This window comes from Homo sapiens, chromosome 5 (genome assembly GCF_000001405.40).
Source record: "Homo sapiens chromosome 5, GRCh38.p14 Primary Assembly".
Taxonomy (NCBI): Eukaryota; Metazoa; Chordata; class Mammalia; order Primates; family Hominidae; genus Homo; species Homo sapiens.
Window position 1 is genome coordinate 133,359,940 of NC_000005.10, and position 27,021 is coordinate 133,386,960.

Sequence of the window (27,021 nt, forward strand, 5' to 3'; positions counted from 1 at the left end):
CCTGGCAGACCAGGGAGCCAGTATTCTGAGCTCCAGCCTGCCTCAAGGCTCTCTGCTTTGTAAACCCCATAAGTGGGTTCCAAGAGAACAGATTTCCTGAAGTGCTGCCCAGGAATCAAACAGCCCTAACAGTGGACCCTCAGCGTGGCCTCCCTTCCCTGCAGGGCTGGGGCCTTCATGGGAACACACCCTGTCCCTCTCCTCTTCGTCCCCAATCGGGTACCTATAAAGTACACTCCAAGTACAATCTTCTCAACGTTTACTCAAAATAGGAAAGAGAAATTCTGGCGATTTTCCTCCCACCAGCACCTCGCTGTTCCTTGACCTTTTAAAGCCCATTTGATGATGAGAAAGAAAGAACCCACTGTTGAATTCAAAGCTGGCTCTAAGATCTGACCTTAACACATGAAAATGTGTTCTGGTCCAATGATCATTTTGCAGAATCTAAGTCTGAAAATATTCCTGCTTCAAATCTTAAGTTAAAAAACATAAACATCACTATAGTGTCTCTTAGAGTTTGTTTTCAGGCAATAATTTTTTTTTTTTTTTTTTTTTTGCAACAAGTCAGCTTTCATTATTTGTGAACAATCTTTAAATTTACCAAGTTTGATAGGCTGGAAAAGGAACCTAGACAAAGCAATAAAATCTCAACAGCAAAGTTCCTATTGATGTGATTACAGTTTTAAAGAAACAAGAGATGACACATTTAAAAAGTAAACTTTTTATATTGTCCAATTATGCTCAGTAAAAATAAAAATAAGCTCATAGAAGGGCTATGTTTTCAACGTCCACTTTAATTTCAGACAGTTAAGAGCGGCAATGCATTACCCTTCAAAAATAATAAATAAAGTTCCAGAGTAATTGAAAAGCCTCTTCGTCTCTTCTGAGATGGCGCGTCCCATTCTCTGTCATGTTTCCCAATTATCACCGTGAGTGATACTCCCTAACGCAGGGAGCTTAATTGCCATCTTACCGTGTGTTGCATTTACCGTGTATTCCTAAAGCAAAATTTGGGAAATTAAATCTTTGAGAATAAAACTGTTCAATCACAATAACACAATTGTGTAGGACCTTTTTTTCTCTTCTTGGAGTTTACAAACCTCGAAATTCTGCTCTGAGCAAGAAACCCATTTTAGAAATGAGTTAAATGACCCAGAGTCAGGAGAACATCAGATTAACTTTTTCTGAGCCCTTGAAGCCGAGAGCAAGTCTGAAACATGATTCCCGACCTCTTCTCGCTCTAATAAACTTTTCAAGGAGGGGTCGCATTCCGACCCTGCAGTGCTGGCTTCTTTCCAGAGCTTTCTAATGACTTGGTATTGTCTCTGGATGAAAACCATCCTGGGAGTGGGAGACCCTTACCTCTGCCCCTTTGTATGTTATCTTGAGATTTCGCGGTTGACTGCGATAATCCTTTATAGTTATTTACTATCTAATTGAGAAGCACCCTTTCTGTCATCTGCAGTTTCTTCTACAACAGCAGCAGGCCCTCTCTTGCTCTGCCTGAGCTCCAATCTTTCCTCTTTTCATCCTTATCTGCCCAAGGATCTCAGGGCTCCCTGGAGCATCAGACCAGCACATCTTGGCCAAAACGCATAGGTATCTCTTTCAGAGTCTTCTGCTCTTGCTTCCAAATGTCCCTTTTTACCCCAAAAATTTCCCTAAAAATTTTGAGACTGGGAATGTATAGCCATGAGGAAACCCAAAGGAGGTGTCAAATGCCTTCTAGTCCTGACAAGTTTCTCCCTCTAAGACAGTGGTTCTAAGTGGGGCAGAACTGCCTTGTAGTGGTTTTTTTGGCAATCACTGGGGCATTTTCAGCAGTCTCAATGATTGAGGTGGGGATGGGGTTGCTGTTAGTATTGAGTGAGCAAGGACCAGGGATACCAGACATTTTGCATTGTATAAGACAGTCCTTCACAACAATACATTGTCACATGCCCCCATTTTTTGGATATCCCATTGGATATTCACGTAGTTGAAAACATATTTATAATTATTTGAGCCTAGAACCTAACTCTAGTTATCCATGAATACAAAGTATTTTGTGCATGGCTTAATATACTTGGAATTTCTCTGGGATACAACTACTATAAAAACCAAGGAATGAGTACACATTATTTTGTTCAGAACTTTATCAACAGTTGTTCATCATTATCTCGTTGCCAATGGCAACACAGTGTTGTGGCATATGAGTTGCCAATTCCATAAACCTGTATCAGTTGTATTTGTAGAGGCTGCCTTCATGCCAGCATCTGGCTACATCATTATGAATTCCACTGTGGTCTTGCATATTGAAATATGTAATATTTTACTACAAATTACTTCCTTTGTATTTCTCATTTATATTTTAATTAGGACATCATATTGTGAAATTAAGTGTGGAAGTGGATTACATTGTCTATAATTTTCGTTTCAGGGCAATACATGGGGTGTTATTAAATATTTGTTCTAAAAAGTCGGCACTGGATCTGAAAGAGTTGAGAACCAGTGTTTGAAGATTTGGCAGTGGAACCCAGTCACTCCTCCCAAAAGAGGGCAGGAGGAGCCTTTGTTCACTTGCGTTTTTTGATAAGTTTTCACTCACCCAGCACGTAGCCTGAGCGCTTTCTCAGTGCGTCTGTGGGGCTCCCTGTCTATGCGTTCAGGATTTCTCTGATAGGTCTGGGGGCTGAGGCCTCTGGGCCTGCTGTGTGCCTGTGCACATGGGAAGGCAGCCCTTGCCCATGGAGACTGGAAAATGCTCCCTGTCCAGAGCAGGCAAAAGAACACAAGGGCGAGGCTGAGCACAGGAGGTGCTTCCAGGCCTGGCCCCTGCTCTCCGGGAACTCCTTCCCATAGTCTCAGCAGCCATTTCTAGATCCTAGTTAATTTCTATTTTAAAAGCATCATCTCATACTTTTATTTTAACTCATCAATTACTATGCCTTTAACCTATCTCCTTTTTAAATCACTCATTTTAAAATTCATTTTTTTCTTTCTTTCTTTTCTATTTCATCTTAAGTTTAATATCTGAGATTTAAATTCCAGGCTAATTCCTCCTCTCCTGTCTCCTATAGCTGTCAGCCCTTTAGAGCTCTTATTTTAAACCTCTTCTGTTTTATTGATTTCTCTCTCTCCTAACTTCTTCCCTTTTTACCTCCATTTGGGGTTTTATGACTGCGCTGTCATTCTTAAAGAAAAATAATTACCCTTCTTTATTTTCTCTTTTTGAATAATCTGCATACTTCACAGAGAAAAAAAACATACAAACAAAACCAGGTGTACAAATTACCTCATGGTTAAGCATGTGGTGGGGGGCAGCAGCGACAGGTACCAAGTGCCCACAGAAGCTGCCCACATTTCCATGAGTGGGGGTGTTCCAGGAGGCCCTCAGCTCTAGTACTGCTTTTCCTTTGGGGGATATCAGGTTATGGGGGAGTCATTTACGGTAGCCCCCTCAATCCTTGTTTTCCCCCAGCAACTCTGGAAATTCCCACCCTTAATGACTTTTCTTCTTCTACTTGTCACAATCACGCCTTCCCCCAAGCTTGGTCACTAACAGGAAGGTCTTCCCTGACCACCGCAGCCTGAAGTACTCCGTCCAGCCCTGAATTTGAATGGCCAGCCGCAATGTAGGTCTAACTATATTAAGTGCCTTTTCATTTCACTTTCCTTGCTCTTGCCTTAAAAATAACATTTAGCATCCACGTGGGAGGCCAACAAGGCTGCTCCTGAACCTCCAGCCAGTGTACTTGGCAATACAGCCAGGATGAAACCTGGGCTGAGGGCATCTCAGAGCTGGCAGGCCGTGGACCACAGGGACCAAACTCCTGCTTACTACCTTGGTCGAGCTGCAATTTCACATCCCAAGGGTTGTCTAAAATGAGGGCTGCCCACACCCTGCCCACCCCTGTCTTTCCATCAGCCTTAACAGCTTTGTGCAGGCCCTCTCACCGCTGAGCTGGCCTCACACTGAGCTAACTCTAGTGTTCTAATGGCTGGGTTAATTCATAGACGGCGGCTCAGAGGGCACTGAATTAACACTTGCCACTTTGCAATAACTCACCAGCCTTCCCGTAGATGCTTTAGCCCACCTCTGGGCCCTGAATGTGCTGCTGGGGACAGATCTTTAAATAATTCCCTTCTCACTGAACAGGGCAGCCTGGCTAAGGCAGGACACGCCTGACATTCCAGCATCAGCAGGCGATTGACAACTCAGAAATATGGAACCAAGAGTGCCCATGGGGTCAACAGTTTCCAACACTGCTCAGCAAGGGACATGTTCAAAGTGCATCTTGAGCTAGGCTCTGTTTCTGAAAGTCCAGGTCTCCAGACTGCTTGTAACAACTAAAGCCCGGTTCTGTTGGGGGTGTGGGGGTGGGTGGTGGTGGTCACAAGTAAAGCCTGCTGTCTCAAGGCCTGAAACTTCAGAGGGGACTCTGAGTGTACTCCCAGTGGGCACCTAACCTCCTGATCGAGGTGGCAGCAGGCCACCGCAAAGGAGGAATTGGCAGGGGCTGCCCCATGCCAGGGGCCTCTTACACCTGCTGAGCCCTGATTCAAGGTCCTATGATGAAGACTCCCTGCTCCTCCTGCAGGAATCATCCCTCCTGACACATTAGCAAGCAACGTTTGGGAAATTGTGCAGTTATGAGGCAGGCACCTAAATGAATCCTGAAGGAGATGGTACATTTTTTAAGCCACTTAATTGAATCTGTGCCAGTAAATCTTTTAGTCTTCTCTTAGCATGTAGAATTTCAATTTTGTCCATGGATTTTTGTGCTCAGCCCCCAGTGAAAATGAACATTTGTGCTGAAAAGCTTTTTATCAACCGTTCTCAAAATGTCAGTCCCCCTTATCTCCAAAGCCCACCGAAATCTTTGTGCCCGTGGTTTTAAAAATATATTCTGTGTATGCTGTTTCTCCCTTTCAGATTCTAGCATTCTTTATCTTGGCTTAATCAGAGTCATTTTTGATGTTCATCCCCCTCTTAATCTCCTTAGATTTCTTTTTAAGGTGAGCTTTCCACTTCAATCCAGCTTCACTGATCTATTAAGATTCTCTGAGGCCGCTGCCTCACAGATGAAGACACGCTTCTGTGGAAAGCCCTCAGAAAGCCCTCTATTTTAGCGCACAGAAGGTTAATTGCCCAGTTTTTAATTAAATCAGTCATTTTTCTTTAATGTTGTTTGTGGAACTCTGTAGTAAATTAAGCCATAAACCTGTCCTCCTTTTACGAGGAGTTTGAGTTTTGACTGTTGTTGCTTGCAGTCAAAACTCAAAAAGGCTGGTCATGGCAAAAGTTAATTTCTAAAATAATAATAATAATAATAATAATAAACCTTAATGGAAAAAGAACACAAGATATCCTGAAAGAGATCAACTTTTAGGGATTTTAATGGCAAATGTTTTATTTGGGGAAAGCTGCTTTTTAATAGTTTTCTGGTAAAATGGTAACAATCTCCAGCCAAGTTGCTGAGCCAGGGGGACCACCCAGGCAGGTCCAGATGGGACCTCCCCTCTGGGGTCTTTCAAATGCGGCTGTCATTTGAGCGGCCACCAGGGGACAGCATGCCCCCACCTGCTGATTTGCTAATCAGCACCCCTGCTGCCCTGAACCCCTGCACGAGGCAGGATGTTCTATCGATTTCTCCCTGGCCCTCTGGTTTCCCATGAGCCTAATCAGCGGTGCAGTCTTCAGTCCTTGCTCCTTGATTTGTCAGGAGAATGAGTTATCCGAGCTGACGCTCCCTGTGATTTGTAGGTTGGAGAACTCAGCCGTACTGCTGTGACCTTTTCAATATTCTGTTATTAGATGGGCTGGCCATTTCAACTTCCTCCTGAACAAAGTATCTTCAACATGTGCTGAAGAGGGAGAATGGCCAGTTAATCAGAACACCGAATGCTGAAAAGGTCGGACCAGGGCCACGGGTATTAACATTCACCATCTGCGTCAGCCTCCTGCAGCCTGCAAGCCTCACGACTGGCAGGGGCTGGTGGTACCCGACAAAGGGATGAGGGCTAGCCCTCAGCCCTTCTTCCACCCCTTGCAGACAGGGACTGCTTCTCCCAGTATTACCCTCCTCTAATGGGCAACCCAGACTCTTGTCATCCACAAGGCCCCACCTGCCTGGGCTTCTGGATCCTTCTCCAACATCATCTCCTACCACCCTCTCACTTTTGATGCTGCAACCACAGTGGCCTTTGTGTGCCACCTTGAACGTGTCAAGCTCCTTTCAGGTTCAGGGCCTTTGCACTTGCTGAGCCTTGGTGTGGGTCTCTCTTTCCCCTGATTTTTGGATGGCTGACTCCATCTCAAAATGCAGCTCTCATCTCAAATGTCATTGCACAGAGGCCTTCCGAGGATACCCCAGCCATTGAAACTCCGCATTGAAACATCTCCCTCAATGCTTTTCTTTATGGTCTTTACCACCTGTCATCCTTGTCTGTTCATGTGTTTATTCTCTGTCTCTATTCAAATGTGAGCAGCTTGAGGGCAAGGATACCGTCTGACATGGTCACTGTTGTATCGCCGGTGCTTGACACAGCACAAGTCCACAACAGGTCCTCAATCCATGTTTACTGACAGAGTGACAGTGACATGCAATTTATTTTTTTAAAAATCCGTAACTCTGACTCCTCTCTGGTCACTGAAAACTTTCTTCTGCCTGCTTCCCCATGTCCCTTTCCTCACTTTCTTCTTGGAGGAAACCCTCTGGTGACTCAAGCACACCCTCTGGTGACTCAAGAAGTCAGGTGAAACCCAGCACTCAGAATCTGAACTCACTGCAGCTCTTCAGTCCAAGGAACATCAACGGACCAATCCAAGATGGAAGCGTCTCACACAAGCACAAGGCGGCATCCTAATTTATAGTAATGGGACCATTTTCAAGACTCCAGTTTTGAACTGAGGTCTACTTAAAATACTAATAGCTTGAAAAGGCCAAAAAAATTCCTACAATTCCCTTTGCTTAATTTTTTGGTGCAGAGCATTCTAATGCTGTTAAATGATATATTTAAATGTTGAAGTATTTTAAATGAATATTTAAATGTATTGAAATGTTGAGCCAAACAACAGCAGGATGAGAAGGCATCCCCAGCCATTCAGGGTCCTCCCCTTGAAGGTCTCTCCTGAAATAGTGACTCTGTTAGCTGCTTGGGGGCAGACTTTGGTGGAAGACAGCTGTTCTTCTTTCCTGGAAGAGCTCAGCTGGGGACTAGGAAAGGATGAGACAGAGCCAACTGATCTGCTTAGGCAGCAATGAGAAGAATGGACACCAAGATGTCCATAGGCCCTACAGGGAATAAAGACTCAAGTCAGCCAGTAATCCCTGTTCCAAAGGCCTGAGATTCATGTCTATATCCCCACAAAGTGGAACAAGACTGGTTTTTAGCACCACAAAAATGTGTGAGGTTGGATGTGTTGTCTCTGAAACAATGTGGAAGATTTCAGTCCAGAATGTCTCTCTTTAGCCCCAAGGTAAACAAGAAAACAGCCATATGGCAATGCTTTATTCTCAGAAGTTTTCTAGGAATCCAACCAAAGCATCCCAGAAAGGCCTGCGTTTTTAATTCCTTTCCAATTAGACCCTGGGATTTTAGGACAGCAACATGGGGAGGCTTCACTGCCACAACATGTGACAAATTTCTGCTTTCGCTCCAGATCTTGGTCGGCAGCAGGCAGAACCATTTGAACAGCTGCAGCTTGGCCACGCTCTCTCTCCTTGGCTCTCCCGCACCTCAAGGATGAAAGATGTTAAGAAGTGCAAGGAAGCGGGTTTCCCTGCTACTGTGGGGTTTCTGCAGTAGGCCACATCAGGAGTTGGAAACAAAGATCAGGAGAGTAGAAAAGGAAATGTAAGCTAATGGTTTTAAAGAGCCTGCCAGCTATGATCCTTGGGAGAGAACAAATCAAACACAGTTCCACAGGTGACACAGGATGTACCTGAATAGAAACCTAACACAGTTTCACATTTCATTTGGCTGGAACTTTGTTCTCCATGTTCTGCTGTGAATAAACCCAGATCCAACAGGCAGGATCAAGATCCCAGAGTCTAAGACTTTGGTGGAACCAGGAGACCATCTCATCTAGCCTCTGCATAAGAAAGATACCCTTGTCCAAGGGGAGTTCTGGCCTTTGCCCCCTGCCCCTGGGAGGGGATTGCTAAGCCCTTGGACTGTGCTGCCTGATAAGAGCATCTTTGTTTAGCTGGGGGCTTTGGGCCATGACACAGTCTATGCTAACAATGTGATTTATGGTGGGAGGCCACGGACCATGTGGTGTCAGCTCAACCTCTGGAAGGCCAGACACTACGGTCAGCCATGCAGCCAGCCAGCCAGCCATATCCATGTGACTGAGTCCCAGTAACATCCTTGGATGCCAAGGCTCAGGCAAGCTTCCCTGGTTGGCAGTGCTCTGAGTGTATTGTCACACACCAGTGCTGTCTGCACAACTCCACTGGGAGGGGACACTGGGGAGTTATGTGCTTGGAACTCTTCTGGGCCCCATGCCCCTCTTCCCTCTGTTGATCTTAATGTCTCCTTGTGCTGTAATAAACCATAACCATGAGCATAAAGGTTTTTGTGAGCTCTGTGAATCCTTTTGGTGAATTATTGAGCAGCTGATGTCAGAAGTGAGGGTACCTTAGGGGACTGCCAACCTCTGTAGAAACTAAGGTCCAAAGAGCAACAGGAAGAGCCTGGGAGAACTCAGGTCTCTTGATGCCCAGTTGAGTTCCCTAGCACGGGAGGTGCATCACACACAGATTCCTGAGCCAGGAAACAAACGTGCACCAGAACAGAACCGGTGGGTAGTCATTCCTGTAGTCTAGCCCCATGGGCAGCTGTGCCCTTGGCCTTGCTGTCAGATGTACTTGGACCCTCCAAGCCAAAGTCTACTTGGTCCCCTCTTTGTCCCCCAACTGTGGACATGTTGGTTTGTCATCTAGCCCATTCTAATAATTCTATTTCACTGAATAAAGATCAGCTGGCAGGCCAGGACTTTTCCTAGTGCCAACTGGCTTTTTCTGCATAAAGGGGATTTTCCAGCAGACGGTGCTTCAGGGATTCAGTTTGTCTTATGCTGGGAAAAGTCAGTCTTGAGCCAAATGTAGGTACCCATCCCAATAGACGAAGAAGCCTCAGGGATGGACTTCCAAGGCTGGCTTGGTCTCCATGCAGGGTTCTGGCAGGCACACCCACACATGGCCTGCTGAATACCACCAGCCTCCAAAGCTACCCAAGTCTGTCCTTTTCTTGTTAATGTTAATCTCTGTATCTTCCAAAGTTTAATGCCCATCTGGCATTTGAGGCTTGGCTAAAGAGAATCATGCCTCTTAATAAAACAAAAAGCCAATTACACAAGTTGTTACATTTGGCAGCTGGTATCTTGCTAATTTGCAGCATGGGCGGTCCCTCTGTTAATCCCCTCCCTGGGCTCATTGCTCCTGTGTCTCCTCAGCAGGACCTGGGTGGAGAGCCACACCGAGACATCTCATGCCACTCACAGCAGAGTCTCAGAATATCATGATGAGAAGGGGACTGAGAAAACAGTAAGGCCAATCCCCTCTATTGCACAGAGGGAGAAACTGAAGCCACCTGGCAGGGGGTTGGGTGGGAGGACCAGGCTTGTTCCGTCACAACCTGGTGAGGTTAGAACACCAAGTCCTGGCACCCAGCCTGACACAGCCCCTCCCACTGCCCAGGCACCTACTTTCTTATTCTCCACAAAATGCTCAGCTTAGGTGGGCCCCATTCTGACAGGTGGGCGCCTCCTACACAGTGTGATTTTAGAGACTCTAGCAGGCTCATTTGGCCTCAAACGACACCATTAAGGGCAACACACTTGTGCCATTTGATTTACTGGGTGGGTTCTGTCACCTGGCATCAGCAGGGCTTAGTTAACCCATTAGGCACCCCACTCCAGATAGTCTCAGAGCTGAGGAATCCCTGGTGGCAGAGGACACAGGGCAGCTAGCTATGACACAGGTAGAAGAGCACCTCCCTCCCTCCCTCCCCAGGTGCCAGTGAGGCGCTGCTGATTTGATCCCTTTGTTGGGGTTGGTCCTATCTAGCAGGGCTGCCCTCCACCCACCCAAGCCAAGAGCATCCTACTGGATTCCAATCCCCCTCCTCCAGGAAGCTTCCTGGCCACCCAGCTCTTACTGTTCTAGCTCCTTTGAACTGTCACCGTGCATGTGGTCATAGCCCCACAACCTTCATCTTCAATCATGCCCTAATATTTTCTGTCTGCCCTGATGAGACCCAGAGTTCTCCAGGGCAGAAGAGGAACATGATTTCTGCCCAGAGTTCTCTGCTTGTCGCTGAGGAAATGACAAGGTCGCTTGGAATATGGCAGCTGTGGTTGGCAGGCTGGGCTGTGGGCAGGGAGACAGGCTGAGACTGAGATGGCCCCTCACTTGGTATCTGCCTGCAGGCCAGCCTCTCTAAAAGTGAAGCATCTGGATCCTATTTAAGGAGCCTCTCCCTGTGGGAGAGTCCTAATTTTTTTTTTAAACATTAGCCATGGCTGGGCAGGAAGCCTGCTGGAGGATACCCAAAGTAAGACAGGGGTCCCAGGCCTGAAGGGAAACAGGACAGTAGTTCTCCCAGGCAAGCCAGCGTGCTCAGGGTCCTGTGTGGTCTGGCTTCCTAGGCAGAGTTGTGTGAGGACAGGCTCGGGGAAGGGCAGCATGGGTCCTGAAGCATGGTCTTTGGGCAGTCTTGGGGTTTGGACTCCTGTCCCGCCAGCTGGAGAGAAGGAATGAGGGATGAGGCGGTGCTGTGGGAAGTGGGGAGAAGGGGTAGGCAGGTGTGAGGCAGCAGTGAGTCAGAGGCTCAGGCAGCCTCGCCCTCAGAGCAGAGGGGGTGGTTTCAGGAATGAGAAGAAGGAAAGAAAGCCAGAGTTCAAAGACTCATTAGGGTCTAAGGCAACTGGCCCCATGGAGCAACAGGGAAAGGCAGGTTGGGGTCATCGAGTGGGTGCTGGGGTGCTGAGTCAACCCAGGGTAAGAGATGGCTCTCCCCTGCCATGACTGGCTGCAAACTGGGTTCCCAGCACAGACGTGAGCTTGGACATCAGGCCTGTGATGACAGAGGCCCTGGCTGCCTCCCTGGCCAGTACCAGCCTGGTTCTCTGAATGCCTGGGTAGTTCTGGGCAATGCTGGCAAGCAGGGCCCATGCAGGGATGGGGCATGGAGGGACAGCGCACAGAGGGCCAACGGTCCCGAGGACTCAGAGGGTCACCAACCCCAGGCCATCAAGACCGGCCAGCTCTGGGACTTAATGGAATGAGCCACACAACCTACAAAGGGTGTCCACTCCGAGACTCTGACCACGTAAGCTCTGCCCATGTTTTGGGGCTGCCCAGAAGCCAGCACTGCTTTCCCAAGGCCCTCACCGCAAGAGGCATTCCTGACATTTAACATATCTACTCTTGAGGGTTTATCCCATGTAGGTCTCGTGAAATTTAAAATCATGGCTAGTGTCCCTAAAACTCCCAGGATGGGAAAAAGCAAGCATGAGGGAAGAGGGTCTACGGAAAGTGTGGGCCTGACTCCTGGTGGCAGGACGGACCTGTCTAGGGTGTGAGAGCCGCTGAGTGTCCCTACAGGGCCTCCACTTGTCTGGCACAACACAAGAGCTCCCAGGGGAAAAGCCTCCATTTGAAGTGCCTGTAAAGTAATGCGGAATGTGTCAGATGATTCATGTGCGTAAATATCAGTTGGCAGACAAGGAAATGTCATTTTCACCTTTGTTCTCAGATTCTTTTGAAGTGTGAAAAAAGATGGTTTCAGCGATCACTGGGCATTGTTTGTTACAGGAGCATCATTAAAGAAACTGATTTGGGGCTTGAAAAACACTGAGGTATGAACACTGTCTGTTAGAGCTGGAAGGACTCCTCATCGTCAGACCTCGCTCCCGGGGCAGAAATTCCTCCGCCTCTTCCCCAACAGCCTCGGCTGCTGCTTGTCCACTCCCAGGGACGGGAAGCCCACTTCATCACCGGGAGGCCCATTGCAAAGGCAGCCCCAGCTGTTGGAAGGCTCACCATTTTATGGTGGAAACTGCTTCCAGGAGAGAGGAATTGAAATCCATGACACTGACAAGCAGGGCATTTGAAATTGGCCTCCCTGTCACCCACCCACAGGCCGAACATGTGCCTGCTGGGGCTGCCAAACACACCTCATCAAACTTCCAGGTAAAGGGCCATCAGCTTTGGAGACAGTTTTCATGTTTCTCCCGCCAGGGAGATAATGCTTCATGCTGAGATTTGAGGACTGGCAGGGGAATTATCTATCTATGTATCTATGTATCTATGTATCTATGTATGTATGTATGTATGTATGTATCTATCTATCTATCTATTTTTTAAAATTTATTGTCCTGTGGAATAAAGTTTTTAGACTGTGTGTGATCCTAGTCTTTGCCCCCTGGAGGTCACCTGTGTGTCAGAATCCCCCTAAGCACGTGACACCAAGGAGAGAACACATAACTGAGCTCAGTGTTTACCTTGGTATTAGGACTGGGTCATGGCCCAAGGCTCCTAGTCGCCAACCTTCCAGGCCTTTCCACAACGAGCCCTGGAGTCAGCAGGAAGCCAGCCAACAGGCTTCTGCAAAGGATCTTTTAAAGGTAGTAAAAAGCCAATGAGGACAACCACAATTCCAAGCAACAGTTGGAGTGGGAGCCATAAAACCAGCCCGATGAAAGAGAGCTGTTGTGTTTTAGTGTTAACATCACTTATGGGGGAATGGATCCAGACACATTCTGAACAGCCTTTGTTTCCCCTTGGGTAGCCAGCTCCTCTCTGGAGAGTTCAGGGAATCTGCATATCAAATGTGGCATTTTATGGTGCGAACTGAGCCTCCAGCGGGGAGGAACTGAAATTTCTGGCATATACAGGCCGGGCACTCTGCTTTAATTGTGCCCAGAGGGAGGGTGACTCCTTGTAACAGGCTTCTTCATGTTCTTTGTCACAGCTGCTTTCTCAGCAGCTCCCACCTGTGAGAACATCATGGCTGGCTGCTATGGACCGAATGTGTCTCCCCAGAATTCATACATTAAAGCCTAAATCCCCAACGTGAAGGTATTAGGAGGTGGGGGGAGCCTCATGAATGGGATTAGTGCCTTTCTCAGAAGAGACATGAGAGAGGATCTCTCTCTGCCATGTGAGCATGCAACAAAAAGGTGGCTAAGAAGCCACCCCAAAAAGGTGGAATAAAATTTTCATAGTTGTCTAAATCACCTATTTGGTGCTATTCTGTTAAGGAAGCCCAAATGGACTATTCTAATCCCTGCCAGGAAGGCCTGCGGCTATTACGAAGAGCCCCCAGGGCTCTGCAGCCAACAAGAGCTGACATGACACCACCAGCCCACTGCCTTTTGGGGTGATGCAGGAGGTGGGCGGTCAGCACCTTGAATCTTGGACTGTGGGAATTATAGGGATTGGAAGAGTTTTTTCCGAGGGTAACTTCCTTGAAACACATCCTGAGAGTAAGAATGTGAAATCCATGAGTAACACCACCATGTGGGAGGGTTGCACAATGAGCTATATGTAGAAGCAGAGATCCACTGGATGCACATACAAGAAGGAACCAGTGTGAACAGGCGGCAGCACCAATGTGAAAATGAGTGAGCTGGAATATACTGCTTCATGGCCAAGCTGATCCATAACTTAACACCAGGTTGGGTGTGTGGGATGCTGGCCCCACACTGAACAACTGTTTGGGGCAGACCCCACCAAACCTACCCTCCCTTCTTGGGAAGCCTTGATCATAACCTAGTCCATGTAGACTGGGTTGGGGCCACAGTGCACCCTCCATCTCCCTGGGTGGGGCACTAAGATGGGTGAACAGCACAAGCACCTGAGCAGCAATGGTCCCCAAAATCTCAGGATGAAGCATCACTTGCCTCTACCTTCAGCAGCATGATGCCCTTCTCTATGTTGGCTTAAATAGAACTGGTCACAGAGCTTCAGAGTTATCCCCACCCCTCAGGAAGCATGGGAAGTTTCTTCCCTTAGACTCCAGCTCTCTCCTGCAGTAACCACACTCAGCAGCACAGATGTGAGGGCTAAGCTGCTTGCCTCTGCCTGACCTGAAATGAAGTCCCTTGGGCAGGGAAACCCTGAGCCCCACATTAATCTAGCTAGCCATGTCCTGAGTGGTAACTTAGAAGGGTGATTTCACAGGATCTGGGAAGGTCCTCCTGCCCCCTCCCCTGGCTTCCCTATCCTCCTCCAACTGCCCACACTCAGACTTACTGACCTGGGCACAAAGGATTTTATTTGATAATTACAGGTGGTTAGATGTGCAACTTTCTCCTATTCGGTCATTATGGAGGCAAATTTATTCACGAGAAGTCCCTTTCTGGACAAGGGTCCATTGTACTGGTGGAGCTGAAGGGAGGAAAGGGGTCCACACAGGGGTTCTGGGCCCAGGGCACACAATGATTTTACCAGAGACAAGCCTGAGTTCACCATCTCTTCTCTGTGGAATTGAGCTGTGCAGATGAAATGGTCTTTTAATATTATCTCTTCTAGAAAGAAATTGTGACAGTACTACCATCTTGGTTAAATATGAACTTTCCAATCATATTCTTGGTGGGCAGTTAAACAAGCAAACCAAAAACCCCTAACTATGCACTGAATGTTTGTGTCTCCCCAAATTCATATGCTGAAGCATAAATCTCCAATGTGATGATACTTGGAGGTGAGGTGTCTGTTAGGTAATTAGTTCACAAGGATGGAGTCCTCATGAATGGGATTAATACCCTTTTAAAAAAAAGACAGGAAGAGATGATCTCTCTCTCTCTCTCTCTACCATGTGAGGTCACAGCAAGAAGATGGTCATCTGCAAACCAGGAAGAGGACCCTCACCAGACACAGTTCTGCTACCACCTTGATCTTGGACTTCCCAGCCCCCAGAACTGTGAGAAATAAATTTCTTTAAGCCACTTAGACTATGATAATCCGTTATAGCACCAGACTGACTAAGCACCCCTCATTTCAACAACTCAGGCCTATGACAGTGTTAGGTGACATGGGACCACAGATCAGACAGAAATCTTGGAGTCCCAAAACTTTAGAGTTGGATGGAACCTTGAGAGGCAATCAAATTCACGTCAGCCATCTAGAAATCAGTAGGTGGTATTCGAGGAGTGAGCTGGTGCATAACCTGGTTGGCAGTCTCAACTTAAACACCTCTGTCTCTCCTGAAGGGATTCTCTGCACTTTCCCTGCAGCACTCTTGAGCACCCATTACCTGCTGTTTTCCAAAGAAAACAATGGTTTGACTTACTGTTGTATAAAGAGATCCATTTATAAAGAGCTATTTTGAAAAAAAACCCAAAACATAGGGTGTGCATGGCATATATATATATATATATATAAAAGACTCTAAAGTTACATACCAAAATATTATCCCTGGTTCTCTCTGATGGTAAATCACTTTTATTTTTCTCTTTTGTGCTTTTCTGTATGTCCTAAATTCTCTGGAAATAATACATAATACCTTTGTAATCAGAAAAACAACAATAAAAGGAAAGCAACAGCAGTTACTTTTAAAGACCCCTAATCAATATTTTCCTGCCTTGATTGAAATAGCCAAGCCTCATGCTAGTTCCCCATTGTCAGAAAACAGCTGGAGTGTTGGTGAAAGCATGAAAGGAAATAAACTGGTTAGTAAAAAGCAGTGGAGGAGCTTTAAAGTAGGTGCTACTTTGTGATAAAAATGTACCTTATTCTACTCTCACTCCCGTTGGGTATAGTTGATCCATTAGAGGCAACTACCAAAAATATCTACTTGTCTAGAAATCTGGCTTTCTGTCACATTGGGATCAGTAATAGCCTCTAAAGTTAATTTGTTCTTCCCACATTGACATGATTTAAAGTGATATGAACCCTTGTGAGATGAGTGGAGAGAGTAGAAAATATTACAAGTTTCTGGAAGATCCATGGCCTTAGAGAGCACACATACTGCTTGCATCAGTTGATATTTATACTTAAGTAATGGAGAGATATACTATGTTTACGGATGGAAAGCCACAGTCTTGTAAAGATGTTGATTCTTCCTGAATTTACCCATAGACTCAATGCGATACAAATCAAATTTCCAACAGGTTGTGTGTATACACACGTGTGCACTTGACAAGCTGAATCTACAATTTATAAACATATACAAAGTCCTGAAGACAGCTTCAGTGCTCTCAAAGAAGAAGGACAAGGGCTTGTCCTATGAGATATCAGAACTTACTATATAAAGCTTTTATAATTAAGACATTGTGGTATTGGTGCAGGAATAGATCAACTGAACAGAAGAAAGAACTCTGCAATATGCTCCTGCAGAAACAGACATTTGCTACAAGACAGAGGCAGTATTGTAGATCTCTGGGGGAACAGATAGACTTTTCAATAAATGGAGTTAGGGCAAATTGGAATTGGAATTCATGTGAAAAATAATAAAACTAGGCCTTTGCATTATACCATTCACAACACATTAAATCCAGGTAGACTAAAAAAATAAACATTGGGTCCCGCTTTTAGAATTATGGCATAACGAACTCTGTAGACATGCTCTTCAGAGAAATAAATATAAATGGTGAAATGATGATTTTGATTTTAAAAAAAACACACACACTCCAAACCCAACCGGTTAAAGTATCTGGAAATTTTCCTAAGTACCTATAGCACATGAAGAAACATTTATTCAAGAAAATCTACTTTTGGGAGGCCAAGGTGGGTGGATCACCTGAGGTCAGGAGTTTGAGACCAACCTGACCAACATGGTGAAACTCCGTCTCTACTAAAAATACAAAAATTAGCCAGGTGTGGTGGTGGGCACCTATAATCCCAGCTACTTGGGAGGCTGAGACATGAGAATAGCTTGAAACTAGGAGGCGGAGGTTGCAGTGAGCCGAGATTGTGCCATTGCACTCCAGCCTGAGAGACAGAGCAAGAGTCTGTCTCAAAAAAAAAAAAAAAAAGAAAATCTACTAAATTCAGTAAAAACAGCAAGAGTCTTACTTGAGCCATGATCTGCTTGCTCCCTCTCTCTTTGCCAGCTAAATGTGAAGGAAGCTTCATTCTGGATGGAAGTGCCAAGGAGACAGGGTTCCCTCTTCCCCAGCTTCCAGTCAAGGTATATAATATTTCCCTGGGAGGTCAGGATGCCAGCACAACTAATCCCTGCCAGCTCCAGGCTGTGGAGACTAAATTCCAGGCAAATGCAACTGAGCAGTCTGGGGCTCTCATCTTCCACTCAGCTCTGACTCATAAGATGGAGACTCTACTGCTGGTGTGACAGGGCAGTAACACTGGGACCCGAAGTTCCCTCACCCCAGTTTACTCATAGGACAGAGATTTCATGCTGGGAGAAGTGAACTGAGAGACCAGAGTCTACCATGACAACCAGGCTAGAATTACAACTAAGGGTGTCATTCTAAGAGAACTGGGCCATTATGCCCACACCAAACTCTGGAGCAGTGGCTTGGAGATTTTGGCCATGGGGCGAGACAGGCCATTAAAATGGAGAGCTCTGACTGAGAGGAATTTGGAACAGAGTATGAGGAAGTTTGAGCCTAAAAGTACTCTTAAAACAATGAACATTTTGGTGGTAAGTAATTAAGAGGAGGCTGGTAGCTCCATGAGAGCAACAAGCTAGACTGTAGGACAGCTAGTTTACTAGGGAAGAAAATGAACCAAAAAAAAAAAATGAACAAAGCCTCAGAGAAATGTGTGACACCATTAAGCACACCACCATATGTGCAGTAGAAGCACCAGAAAAAGAAAAGAGAAAGGAACAGAAAATTATTTGAAGGATTAATGGCTAAAAACTTCCTAAATTTGATTAAAAAATTAATCAGTACATCCAAGAAATTCAACAATCTTCAAGGAAGATATACACAGAGATCCAGGTGCACTCTACTAAAAATATAGAAAACAAAGACAAAGAGAAAAATTTGAAAGCAGCAACAATTTTTTTTTTTACTCGTGTACAAAGGAACTTCAATATGATTAACAGCTGACTTTTTGTCAGAAGCTAAAGAAGCCAGCAGACAGTGGAATGACATATTCAATGTGCTAAAAAACAAAACTGTAAACAAAGAATCGTATATCCAACAAAACCACTTTTCAAAAACGAAGGCAAAATAAGGACATTCTCAGATAAACAAAAACAGATAATTCATTGCTACATACCCACTCTACAAAAGGTGAAAGAAGCTTTTTAGGCTGAAAGCAAGTGACCCCAGATGGTAATCACATCTACACCAAAAAAAAAGAGCACTGGCAAAGATAACTATGTAATTATAGCAGACAGTATAAATATACATTTATTCTCCTTTCTTGTTAGCTGATTTTAAAAGCAATTGTATAAAATAATATGTTTATAACTGTACAATTGTGCCTATAACATACAGAAATATAACATACTTGAAAATAATAGCACAAAGGATGTAGGTGGGTGCAAAACTGTATTGGAGTAAGGAAATGATATCAAATGATAACTTGAATCTACAAAAACACTGAAGAAAACCAGCAATGGTAAATAAGAAGGTTAACATACAAATTATATAACTATATACTTGCTCTCATTTATTCCCTCAGCTTCAAATGACAAAATTATTTAAATCAGTAAATTTAAAACATGTATTATTGGGTTTGTAACATATATAGTTTTATTTTGTGTAACAGTAATAGCAGAAAAATGTAAAGTGTAAAATACATATAGGAATAACATTTCTATATCTCACAGAAATTAAAAGTTTTAGTATGAATTTGAAGTAAATTCTGATAAGTTATGATGTATATGGTAAACCCCAGAAAAATCACTAAAAACACCCTCCAAAAATGTAGGAAAAGTATCATTAAATGACTTAAAATGCTACAACAGAAAATGTTCAGTTAATACAAAACAAAGCACTGAGGGAGAAACAGAGGAATAAATGAAATGAGACATATAAGAAGCAAAGTAAAATTTCAAATATAAATCCAACTATATCAATAAACATATTAAATGCTAATGAATTAAGCAATCCAATCAAAAGGCAGAGATTTTCAGACTGGATAAAAAAGTAATATTCAAATATATGCTGGCTGTAGAACACATACTTTAGAATTAAAGATATAAATAGATTGCAAGTAAAAGCATGGAAAAAGAAACTATAAGAAAGCTGAAAGAGTTATACTAATATCAGACAAAATTAACTTTAATATAAAACAATGCTACTGGAGATAACCAGGTGTTATATAAACAGATAATAATAAAAGGGCTAATCAATTTGAAAGATTTAATAGTTTTAGACATATACACATCTAACAAGAAACCCCAAAATACACGAAGCAAAAGCGACAGAACTAAAGAAAGAAATAGATGACAATAATAGATGGAGGCTTTAATATCTCACTTTTAATAATGAATAGAACAACTAGGAAGATCAACAAGAAAATAAAAGACTGACAAAACTATGATACAACTAAACCTACTAGATCCCGCTGGAACACCCTATTTAACAAAAGCAGAATGCACATTTTTCTCAAGTGTACATAGAACATTTTCCAGGACAGACCATATACTAGACCAGAATAGAAAGTTCAATAAATTTAAAAGAACTGAAGTCACACAAAATATGTTCATCTACCACAAGACTGAAATTAAAACCAGTATCCAAATGAAATCTGGGAAATTCACAGATACGTGGAAATTAAACAACACACACCTACATAACCAATGGGTCAAATAAGAAATTACAAGAGAAAATACACTTTGATATGAATGAAAATAAGGACACAACGTAACAAAACTTACGAGATGTAGTAAAGGAGTGCTTAGAGAGAAACTTGTAGCTATTAATGCTTACATTAAAAAAGAAACAGGCCAGGCACAGTGGCTCATGCCTGTAATCTCAGCATTTTGGGAGGCTGAGGCAGGCGGATCACAAGGTCAAGAGATCGAGACCATCCTGGCCAACATGGTGAAACCTCATCTCTACTAAATATACAAAAATTAGCTGGGTGTGGTGGCTTGCGCCTGTAGTCTCAGCTACTCGGGAGGCTGAGGCAGGAGAATGGCGTGAACCTGAGAGACAGAGGTTGCAGTGAGCCACTGCACTCCAGCCTGGTGACAGAGTGAGACTCTATCTCAAAAAAAAAAATAAAATAAAATAAAACAAATTTCAAATCAATAACCTAATCTTTCACCATAACACATAGTAAAAAGAAGAGCAAACTAAACCCAAAACAAGCAGGGCAAGCAAGTAGTAAAGATTAAACTGGAAATTAATGAAAAGAGAATAGAAAAGCAATAGAGTAACTCAACAAACCCAAAAATTGGTTCTTTCAAAAAAAAAAATCAACAAAATTGACAAAACCTTTAGCTAGACTAACAAAAAAATTTTTTAGAAGTCTCGAATTACTAAAAATAGTAAGGAGGATGATATTACTACTGACTTTACAAAATAAAAAGGATTATAAGGGAAGAGTATGAACAAGTATATGCCAATAAATTAGACAACTTTGATGAATTGGACAAATTTGTAGAAAGACACAGACTATTGAAAGTAACTCAAGAAGAAATAAGAAAACTATATAAGTAAAGAGATTTAGTTATTTAAAAATTTCACACAAAGAAAAGCAAGGGACCAAATTAATTCACTGGTAAATTCTATCAAACATTTAAATAAGAATTAATAACAATTCTTCATAAACTCTTCCACAAAATAAAAGAGAAGGGAAGATGTTCCAACACATTCTGTGACTTCAATATCAACCTTATATCAAAACCAGGCAAGACAACACAAGAAAACTACTGACCAATATCCGTTATGATTATAGATATAAAAAAATCCTCAACAAAATACTAGCAAACCATATCCAGCAATATATAAAATATATATCATATATATATATAACTTATAAAATAAATTTATACCTAATATCAAATCCAGGGTATAAAAAGGATTATACATCATTACCAAGTGGGATTTATCCCAGGAATGTAAGATTGGTTTAACATATGAAAATCAATTACCGTAATAAACAATAGGAAAAAGGGCAAAACCCTCAGTAGTTGCAGAAAAAGCATTTTGTCAAAAAGGGGTTTTATAGTCACAAGTGTTAGTAAGAATATGAATTATGGGAACTCACACACTGTTGTTTCCAAGGAAAGCTGGTCAACAATTTTGGGAAAGAGTATGGTGATATCTAGAAAGGAGAGTGAAGTACAGTGCCTAGAGTACACGCTAGAGGAACACTTTCACAGGTGCACAGGAAGACATATCCAAGAATGATTCCAGTTGCACAGCTTGGAATATCTCCAAATGGGAATTAACCCAAATGCTGGCTGTCAACAGCAGAATGGATACATCGTGGCATAGTTATACAAGGGGATATCCAGGAATGAAAAGAACAAGGTATGACTATACCCCATATGAACTAGTCTTACAAATCAGATACTGAGTGTAAGAAATAAATCTGAAAAGAACACCCGCAGCATGGTTCCATTTATATGGAGTTCAAAAACAAGAGAAAGTAAACCATGTTGAGACACATTTATGAATATAAATTTAGATAACTATAAAGAAAGCTGGAAGATGATTATCACAGAACGGACAGTGGTCACCTCCAGGCAGGGAGGAGGACGTTGAGTAGGGAGGGGCACGAGAGAGGGAGCATTTCTAAAGCACAGCCTAATTCCTAAAACACGGCTCTTGTCTTCACGATCATTCTTTCAACTGCATGTACACATTTTCATCCCACTGTCTGTATGCCATACGTCATAATAGAAAATGAAGAAAAACATTTCCTTTTCACCAAGTGGTTTCCCTTCCAATTCTATGAATATGCCAGTAGGTCAGCCTTGCACGTGGACACAGCTATGTGCAGGGTTGTGTGTTCAAGCGTTCCTATGAGCACTCAGCCCTCACTCTAGTTAAACACGCTGGCCGGGATGCCGTGGACTGAGGAGGAACATGAGGAAGCAGGGCCTCTGTCCTCCAAGGAGAAAGTTAGCCAAGTTAGCTGTGGCTGTGTGACTTACTTTTCCAAGGAAATGGGGGTTTAAGTGAATGTGTGTCAATTCCAGGCTCTACCTTGGGGTTTTACTCCCTCTTCACATCCCCTTCCCCATCCTGCACTTCCTCCCGGTCATCTCAGAGCCCAGACCATGGTGGGCTCAGCAGGGTCTGCCCAGATACCCCCTGAAGAGGTGGGGAGAGACACCCTCTCACGGAGGAGGTTTGCTCAGCCTCTCCTGCCAAACCCTCCTGCCAAAATCCTCCTGGTTCTCAGATGCCTGGCCTTCCCTACATCACTGACTGCAGAAGGCCATGTGGGCCTGGGTCTGTGAGCTGAGCCCCTGCGGACCCATGCTGGATGTACTGCGTGAGTGAGAAACTTTTACTGGGGTGCCGAGGTTTTGCAGTTGTTTGTTACTGTGGCATAACCTAACACTCCTCTGAAACCTCCATTTCTTTACGTGGGTAATAATTTCCACCTACTTGTGATGATTGTTAGTTCTCATCATTCCCTCCTCCTCCTCCTCCTCTCACTTTAAACTGGATGCAAGAATACTGAGCAATAACTCATTTGTTGAATTAGTCATTTACTTATAATCCAGACTGTGATTGTTTGGAAAATTGGAGAGAGGGATTTCTCCAATAAAAGACAAACTTGCTGGCTCATGTGGGGTTGACAGCATTCACAGGACCATGAACGGTCAGATGGCATGGTTCATCCCCTGATGCTGGGGAGCATGGGTGATCATCTATTTCAGACTGTCTCAACTCTGCTAGGGAAACTGCTTAATTCCCTCAACATAGAACTAGTAGCTTGCACCATGTAATACATACTCCCAGTTAACTGAGAAACACATTATTTCAGTCACTTGTTTTAGATATGTGTAGGCACACTCAAGTCAGACCTCACAGGGAGGGCACGGAAAGGGAAAATGAAATAGGAGGTGAGAAGATGAGGAGGAGTACAGGGAAAGAAAGAGGGCACAGAGAGAGACAGGGAGAGAGAGAGAAGGGGGGTGGGAGAAGGAGGAACAGAGCGTGCAACTGCCTGGTGGATATTCAGGTGGCTGGAGCAGGCTCTGCGTGCCCACATGGACTTTACTGACATGTTACTCCTTGGCCCATTTTGAAATGACCTCTCCATTGGCATGACCAGCTACTCCCCAGCTGGCCAAGCCCGGCCCACCCTGATTTTGTCCTACCCTGAGTTTCAAATGTCTCCCAGTCACAGCTCTTCCTGTGGCCCACATCCTGCACTTCCTCCTGGCCATTCCAGAGCCCAGACCCTGGTGGGCTCAGCAGGTGCTTCCCAGGTACCATCTGAAGGGGTGGGGAGAGCCACTCTCTCAGGAAGGAGGTTCGCCTTCTCCTGCCAAAATTCTCTTGGTTCTCAGATGCGCAGCTGTGCTTTTTGGCTTTGAGATTCCTGGGGCTAGAAACTCCCAACCAGAGAGTCTCAGTGGTGGTGCTAGGGTCGGGGGAGAGGAGAGCCTTTCTGAAGGACGTGTCCTTTCCTGGGTCAGGCAAAGGTACTTGTCAAAACCAGATCTCCATCCCATTGAATGACAAACCAGTGCCCACTTCCCTGGAAGGAGTTTTTCTCCAATTAACTTAAGTCATGTACCTGCCTGTCTGACTGACAGGCCCCAGGGCCCTGGGAGAAGACAAGACATCCCATCACTCGGCGGGGACACCTCAAACATTTGCTCTGTTAATTGGCTGCTGCCTTATTAAGAGGCGGGTCTCCTGCCGCAGCCTTCATTACCGATTTCCAGGAGTAACTAGGCTCCCCCATGCTCCAGTCACCAAGGCGGTTGATTAAATACCCAGATTCCCATGTCTTTGAACTCAGCAGCTTGCTGGTCGAGGCGTGCATTTCTCAGACAAAAGTATCCTTAGAAAGGAGGCACACTTGGATCTAATCAGCAGCCTCTGTGCTCTGCCACTCCTCTCCCTCCAATTGTGGACTGTTCTTTTGTTCTGAGAAATCCGACACCTAAATTCCCCTTTGGTCTTTCTCCCCTTAAGTTTGCATCTTACATTGTTTAAGTGTTTAAATATAATTTCAAATGGATATTGTTTAAATTATTAAGCTTTTGGAAGAAAAGAAGACTGCTGGGAAAAATGTGATTGGCAGAAAGCACCTCTGAGGCTGGTGGATGAGGAGAGGTAAAGACTTCTGGAATCAAGCTGCTTCCCCACCCTCCTGCGGAACCCCTGCGTACTGGAGGTGGAGGTTGCAACTCAGGAAAGGAAGGTGCAATGACCCTAGAGTGCAACACTCCATCCATCTATAGTCCAGGACAGGGACTGAGCCACAGGGTAGGAGAATCACACTCTGACTTCGGCATCCAAGCCACATTTCCTTTCTGAGTCAGTGGCCCGCTTTCCAGACGGGGTGGTGACAGGGTGCGCCCTGACGAAGGGCTGACACTTTCCCAGGACTGTTCAGGGCCCAGCCCAAATGGGAAACTTGGCTCTTGTCAGTTGAAGGATTTCACTCAGGCCTCGCTGAGATGACTTGTACTTCTGCTTAGACGAGGACTGGCTAAGGATGGAGGAAGGCAGTTAGAACCATCCTGGGGTGGGCAGGTGTGATGGTTAATTTTCACAATCAGTGCCTGGTCCTGCTGACTGTATTTTTCCTAAGTGATTCTCCGGTCTGCCCACTCCCCCGATTCAGGCTTCTGTGTGGCTTTGTTGAATGTCCTCGATGCCTCCTGCTGGGCCCCTGCCTCCAGGGTCACTCTGTCCCAAGGGCAACACAGGTGATCTTTCTGAACACCAGGCCTATGGTTTAAAACCCTAGAATGCTGCCTCCCCTTGCATCCAGGAGAAAGTCCACACTCCTTAACCTGATGGTCCAGGTCTGGCCCCAGCTTGGCCAAAGCTCCTTTCCAGGCTTGCCCTTGCTGCTTTCTCTCTGCCCTAAACTCTATATTTGGAGAAACACCAATTGGCTTGTGGCTCCCCATGCTGGCTTCATATCCTAACCCTTGGCCTAGAAGACTCCCCTCCTCTTTCTCTAACCCATTTCTCATCATTTAGTACTCAGTCCAGATGGCACCCCCTTTTGGAGGCCTCCCTGTTCCTTCCATAACAGACTGGACGTGCTCCGTTGTCGCGCTCCCCACCCTGGTTTACAATAGGCAGGGGGTGTGTGTCCCCTCTCAGCTCCCCATGGGCAGGGCCCTCTCACACTCCTCTTGGACCCCCGCCACCGGGCCCTCGACTAGGCCTGGTACACAGCAGGCACTCAGCACTGTTTGTTGAAGCAATGAAATGCGGAATTGCAGAATCCTGCCAAGGTATGAATGGCCCAGATGCAAGAATCACAGATCTTTCTATGAAATCGTGAAACACAAGAATGAAACTTGATCGGTGCAGTGTTGAAAACAGGGACCACTACTTTACTATCCTCAGGAGTGTGAACAAACAGGCAGGATGAGGTTTAGAGCACATGCCGGTACCACTCATGGGTTCCTGTGTGATGTACACTAGAGAAGCTCTATCCCTGATCACACCCACCCTGAATTCCTTTTCCAAGACTGCCATCTCGGGCTGCCCCACAGGCTCCTGGTCCCCCTAGAACCCAACATGGGCTGCACAGAGGCTGAGTCCACTGGCAGCAAATCTAGTTAGCAGCTCGGTCCTGAGCCCACCCTGTCCACTGGCTCCTCTGAGGTGAGCCATACATAGTCCCCGGCTTTTTGCTAATTTTGAAAAAGGGAGAGACTGCGCAGGTGCTCACTGCAAGGCCTCCTTCCTTTTTTAATTACAGGAATCATTATATACATAGACAGTGTGGCATAGTAGAAGGAACAAAAACAACAAAGAAACAAAGATTTTCAAAAACCATCACAATTTCTTTGTCGAGTCAAGAGTGGCTAACAACACGGGCACATGTCAGCTACACGTGCAGAAAGTTGCCTTCAGAACACAAGTGAGAGTGCAGGCACAATCTGCCCAGTTGCTGAATGATAATCACTATGTGTGTGTGTTTTTTTTTTAAATTATACATGTAAGAGATGTGGCAGAGCAGACAGAGCAAAGACAACATTTAACATTTCAAATCAGTCTTTATTGCAGCTCTCCTCCTCACCGGTTGAGTGGTGTTGGGCAAGTCATTAAACCTCTGTGAGCCTCAGTTTCCTCACCTGCCAAGTTAGGGGTAATAACAGTCCTTACCCTGAAGGGCTGTCACAGAATTAAAGAACAGAAAGTGCACAGAATGCTCAGCCTTGGACCTGGCATGTCACATGGGCTCTTTGAGTTAGTTGTTACCCTGCCCTCCATTCTCATCCAATCTCTGGTTTTTTAAAAAGGGTAGGATGTGTAAAATCACAATCATTTGCTGCAAAGCTTGATGATTATAATCACAGCCAGCAGAGTCTCCGTGGGGCTATAGCCACAGGAATCCTGGTGGTGCCTTCACTCAAGTTCTTTCCTTCCCAGCCTTCTAGACAGGCACGCTCAACTGTGCATCTTGTTTTGTGCCAACTGTTTCTCTAAATTAGTATATGGGCTTCTGTCAGCATGTTTTACAGAGAGAAACCACATTTCTCAGCAGTGGACTTTGCCTTCCTTTTGTATAGATTCCCCATTTCTTCAGGTCTTCCTGATACCCACAGTTGTTTACCCTGAGAACCACAAAAGTTTTTAATATGGAAAGTTTGTTCCTTTAAAATTGCTAGGAGAATGTTTATTGAGACAAGCCTGGCACATAAACGAGATCTTCATGTCACTGAAATTTGGCAGGGGGCAGAGGTGGGGACACTGGCGAGAAGGAACCCAGGCAGAAGTGGAGAGACAGAAAGGTGTGACCGAGAAATATGGACGTTTTTCTTCCTGTGCAACGAAGCCCTCACCCTGTGTTTCACGTGGCATTGGCGGGGACTTTCTTCCTTTGTAATGTGCTCACTGGGGTTGTCACGTCACATAGCCACGTGGAGACAGCCACTGAAGTTCAAAGACAAGATGGGTGTAAATGTGATTCATTTCATTAAAACAACTGGATATACAATATT

The 27,021-nt window shown here is 44.8% G+C and overlaps 1 protein-coding gene and 1 long non-coding RNA gene across 4 annotated transcripts in view, besides 4 other annotated features; both read right to left on the reverse strand.

Moving 5' to 3' along the window:
• FSTL4 (follistatin like 4) overlaps positions 1-27,021 on the reverse strand; it is a 645,613-nt gene that overhangs the window by 163,485 nt on the left and 455,107 nt on the right. The gene's annotated exons all lie outside the window — the stretch shown is intronic.
• LOC124901068 (uncharacterized) lies at positions 775-18,903 on the reverse strand. The gene is made up of 2 exons (XR_007058941.1): positions 17,007-18,903; positions 775-998 (listed from the first exon to the last, which is right to left on the reverse strand). It is a non-coding gene; the product is annotated as an uncharacterized LOC124901068 (long non-coding RNA).
• Positions 3,958-4,459: an enhancer, noted in NCBI's record as "H3K4me1 hESC enhancer chr5:132699589-132700090 (GRCh37/hg19 assembly coordinates)". NCBI's record gives its function as "activates a minimal SCP1, AML or CMV promoter by ChIP-STARR-seq in primed H9 embryonic stem cells {active_cell/tissue: H9 hESC(primed)}" and the evidence as "EXISTENCE:reporter gene assay evidence [ECO:0000049][PMID:30033119]".
• Positions 5,283-5,806: an enhancer, noted in NCBI's record as "OCT4-NANOG-H3K4me1 hESC enhancer chr5:132700914-132701437 (GRCh37/hg19 assembly coordinates)". NCBI's record gives its function as "activates a minimal SCP1, AML or CMV promoter by ChIP-STARR-seq in primed H9 embryonic stem cells {active_cell/tissue: H9 hESC(primed)}" and the evidence as "EXISTENCE:reporter gene assay evidence [ECO:0000049][PMID:30033119]".
• Positions 10,569-11,768: an enhancer, noted in NCBI's record as "P300/CBP strongly-dependent group 1 enhancer chr5:132706200-132707399 (GRCh37/hg19 assembly coordinates)". NCBI's record gives its function as "activates an origin of replication core promoter dependent on BRD2, BRD4, P300/CBP, MED14 and CDK7 cofactors, with strong dependence on P300/CBP, by STARR-seq in HCT116 cells {active_cell/tissue: HCT116}" and the evidence as "EXISTENCE:reporter gene assay evidence [ECO:0000049][PMID:35650434]".
• Positions 10,871-11,405: an enhancer, noted in NCBI's record as "H3K27ac-H3K4me1 hESC enhancer chr5:132706502-132707036 (GRCh37/hg19 assembly coordinates)". NCBI's record gives its function as "activates a minimal SCP1, AML or CMV promoter by ChIP-STARR-seq in naive H9 embryonic stem cells {active_cell/tissue: H9 hESC(naive)}" and the evidence as "EXISTENCE:reporter gene assay evidence [ECO:0000049][PMID:30033119]".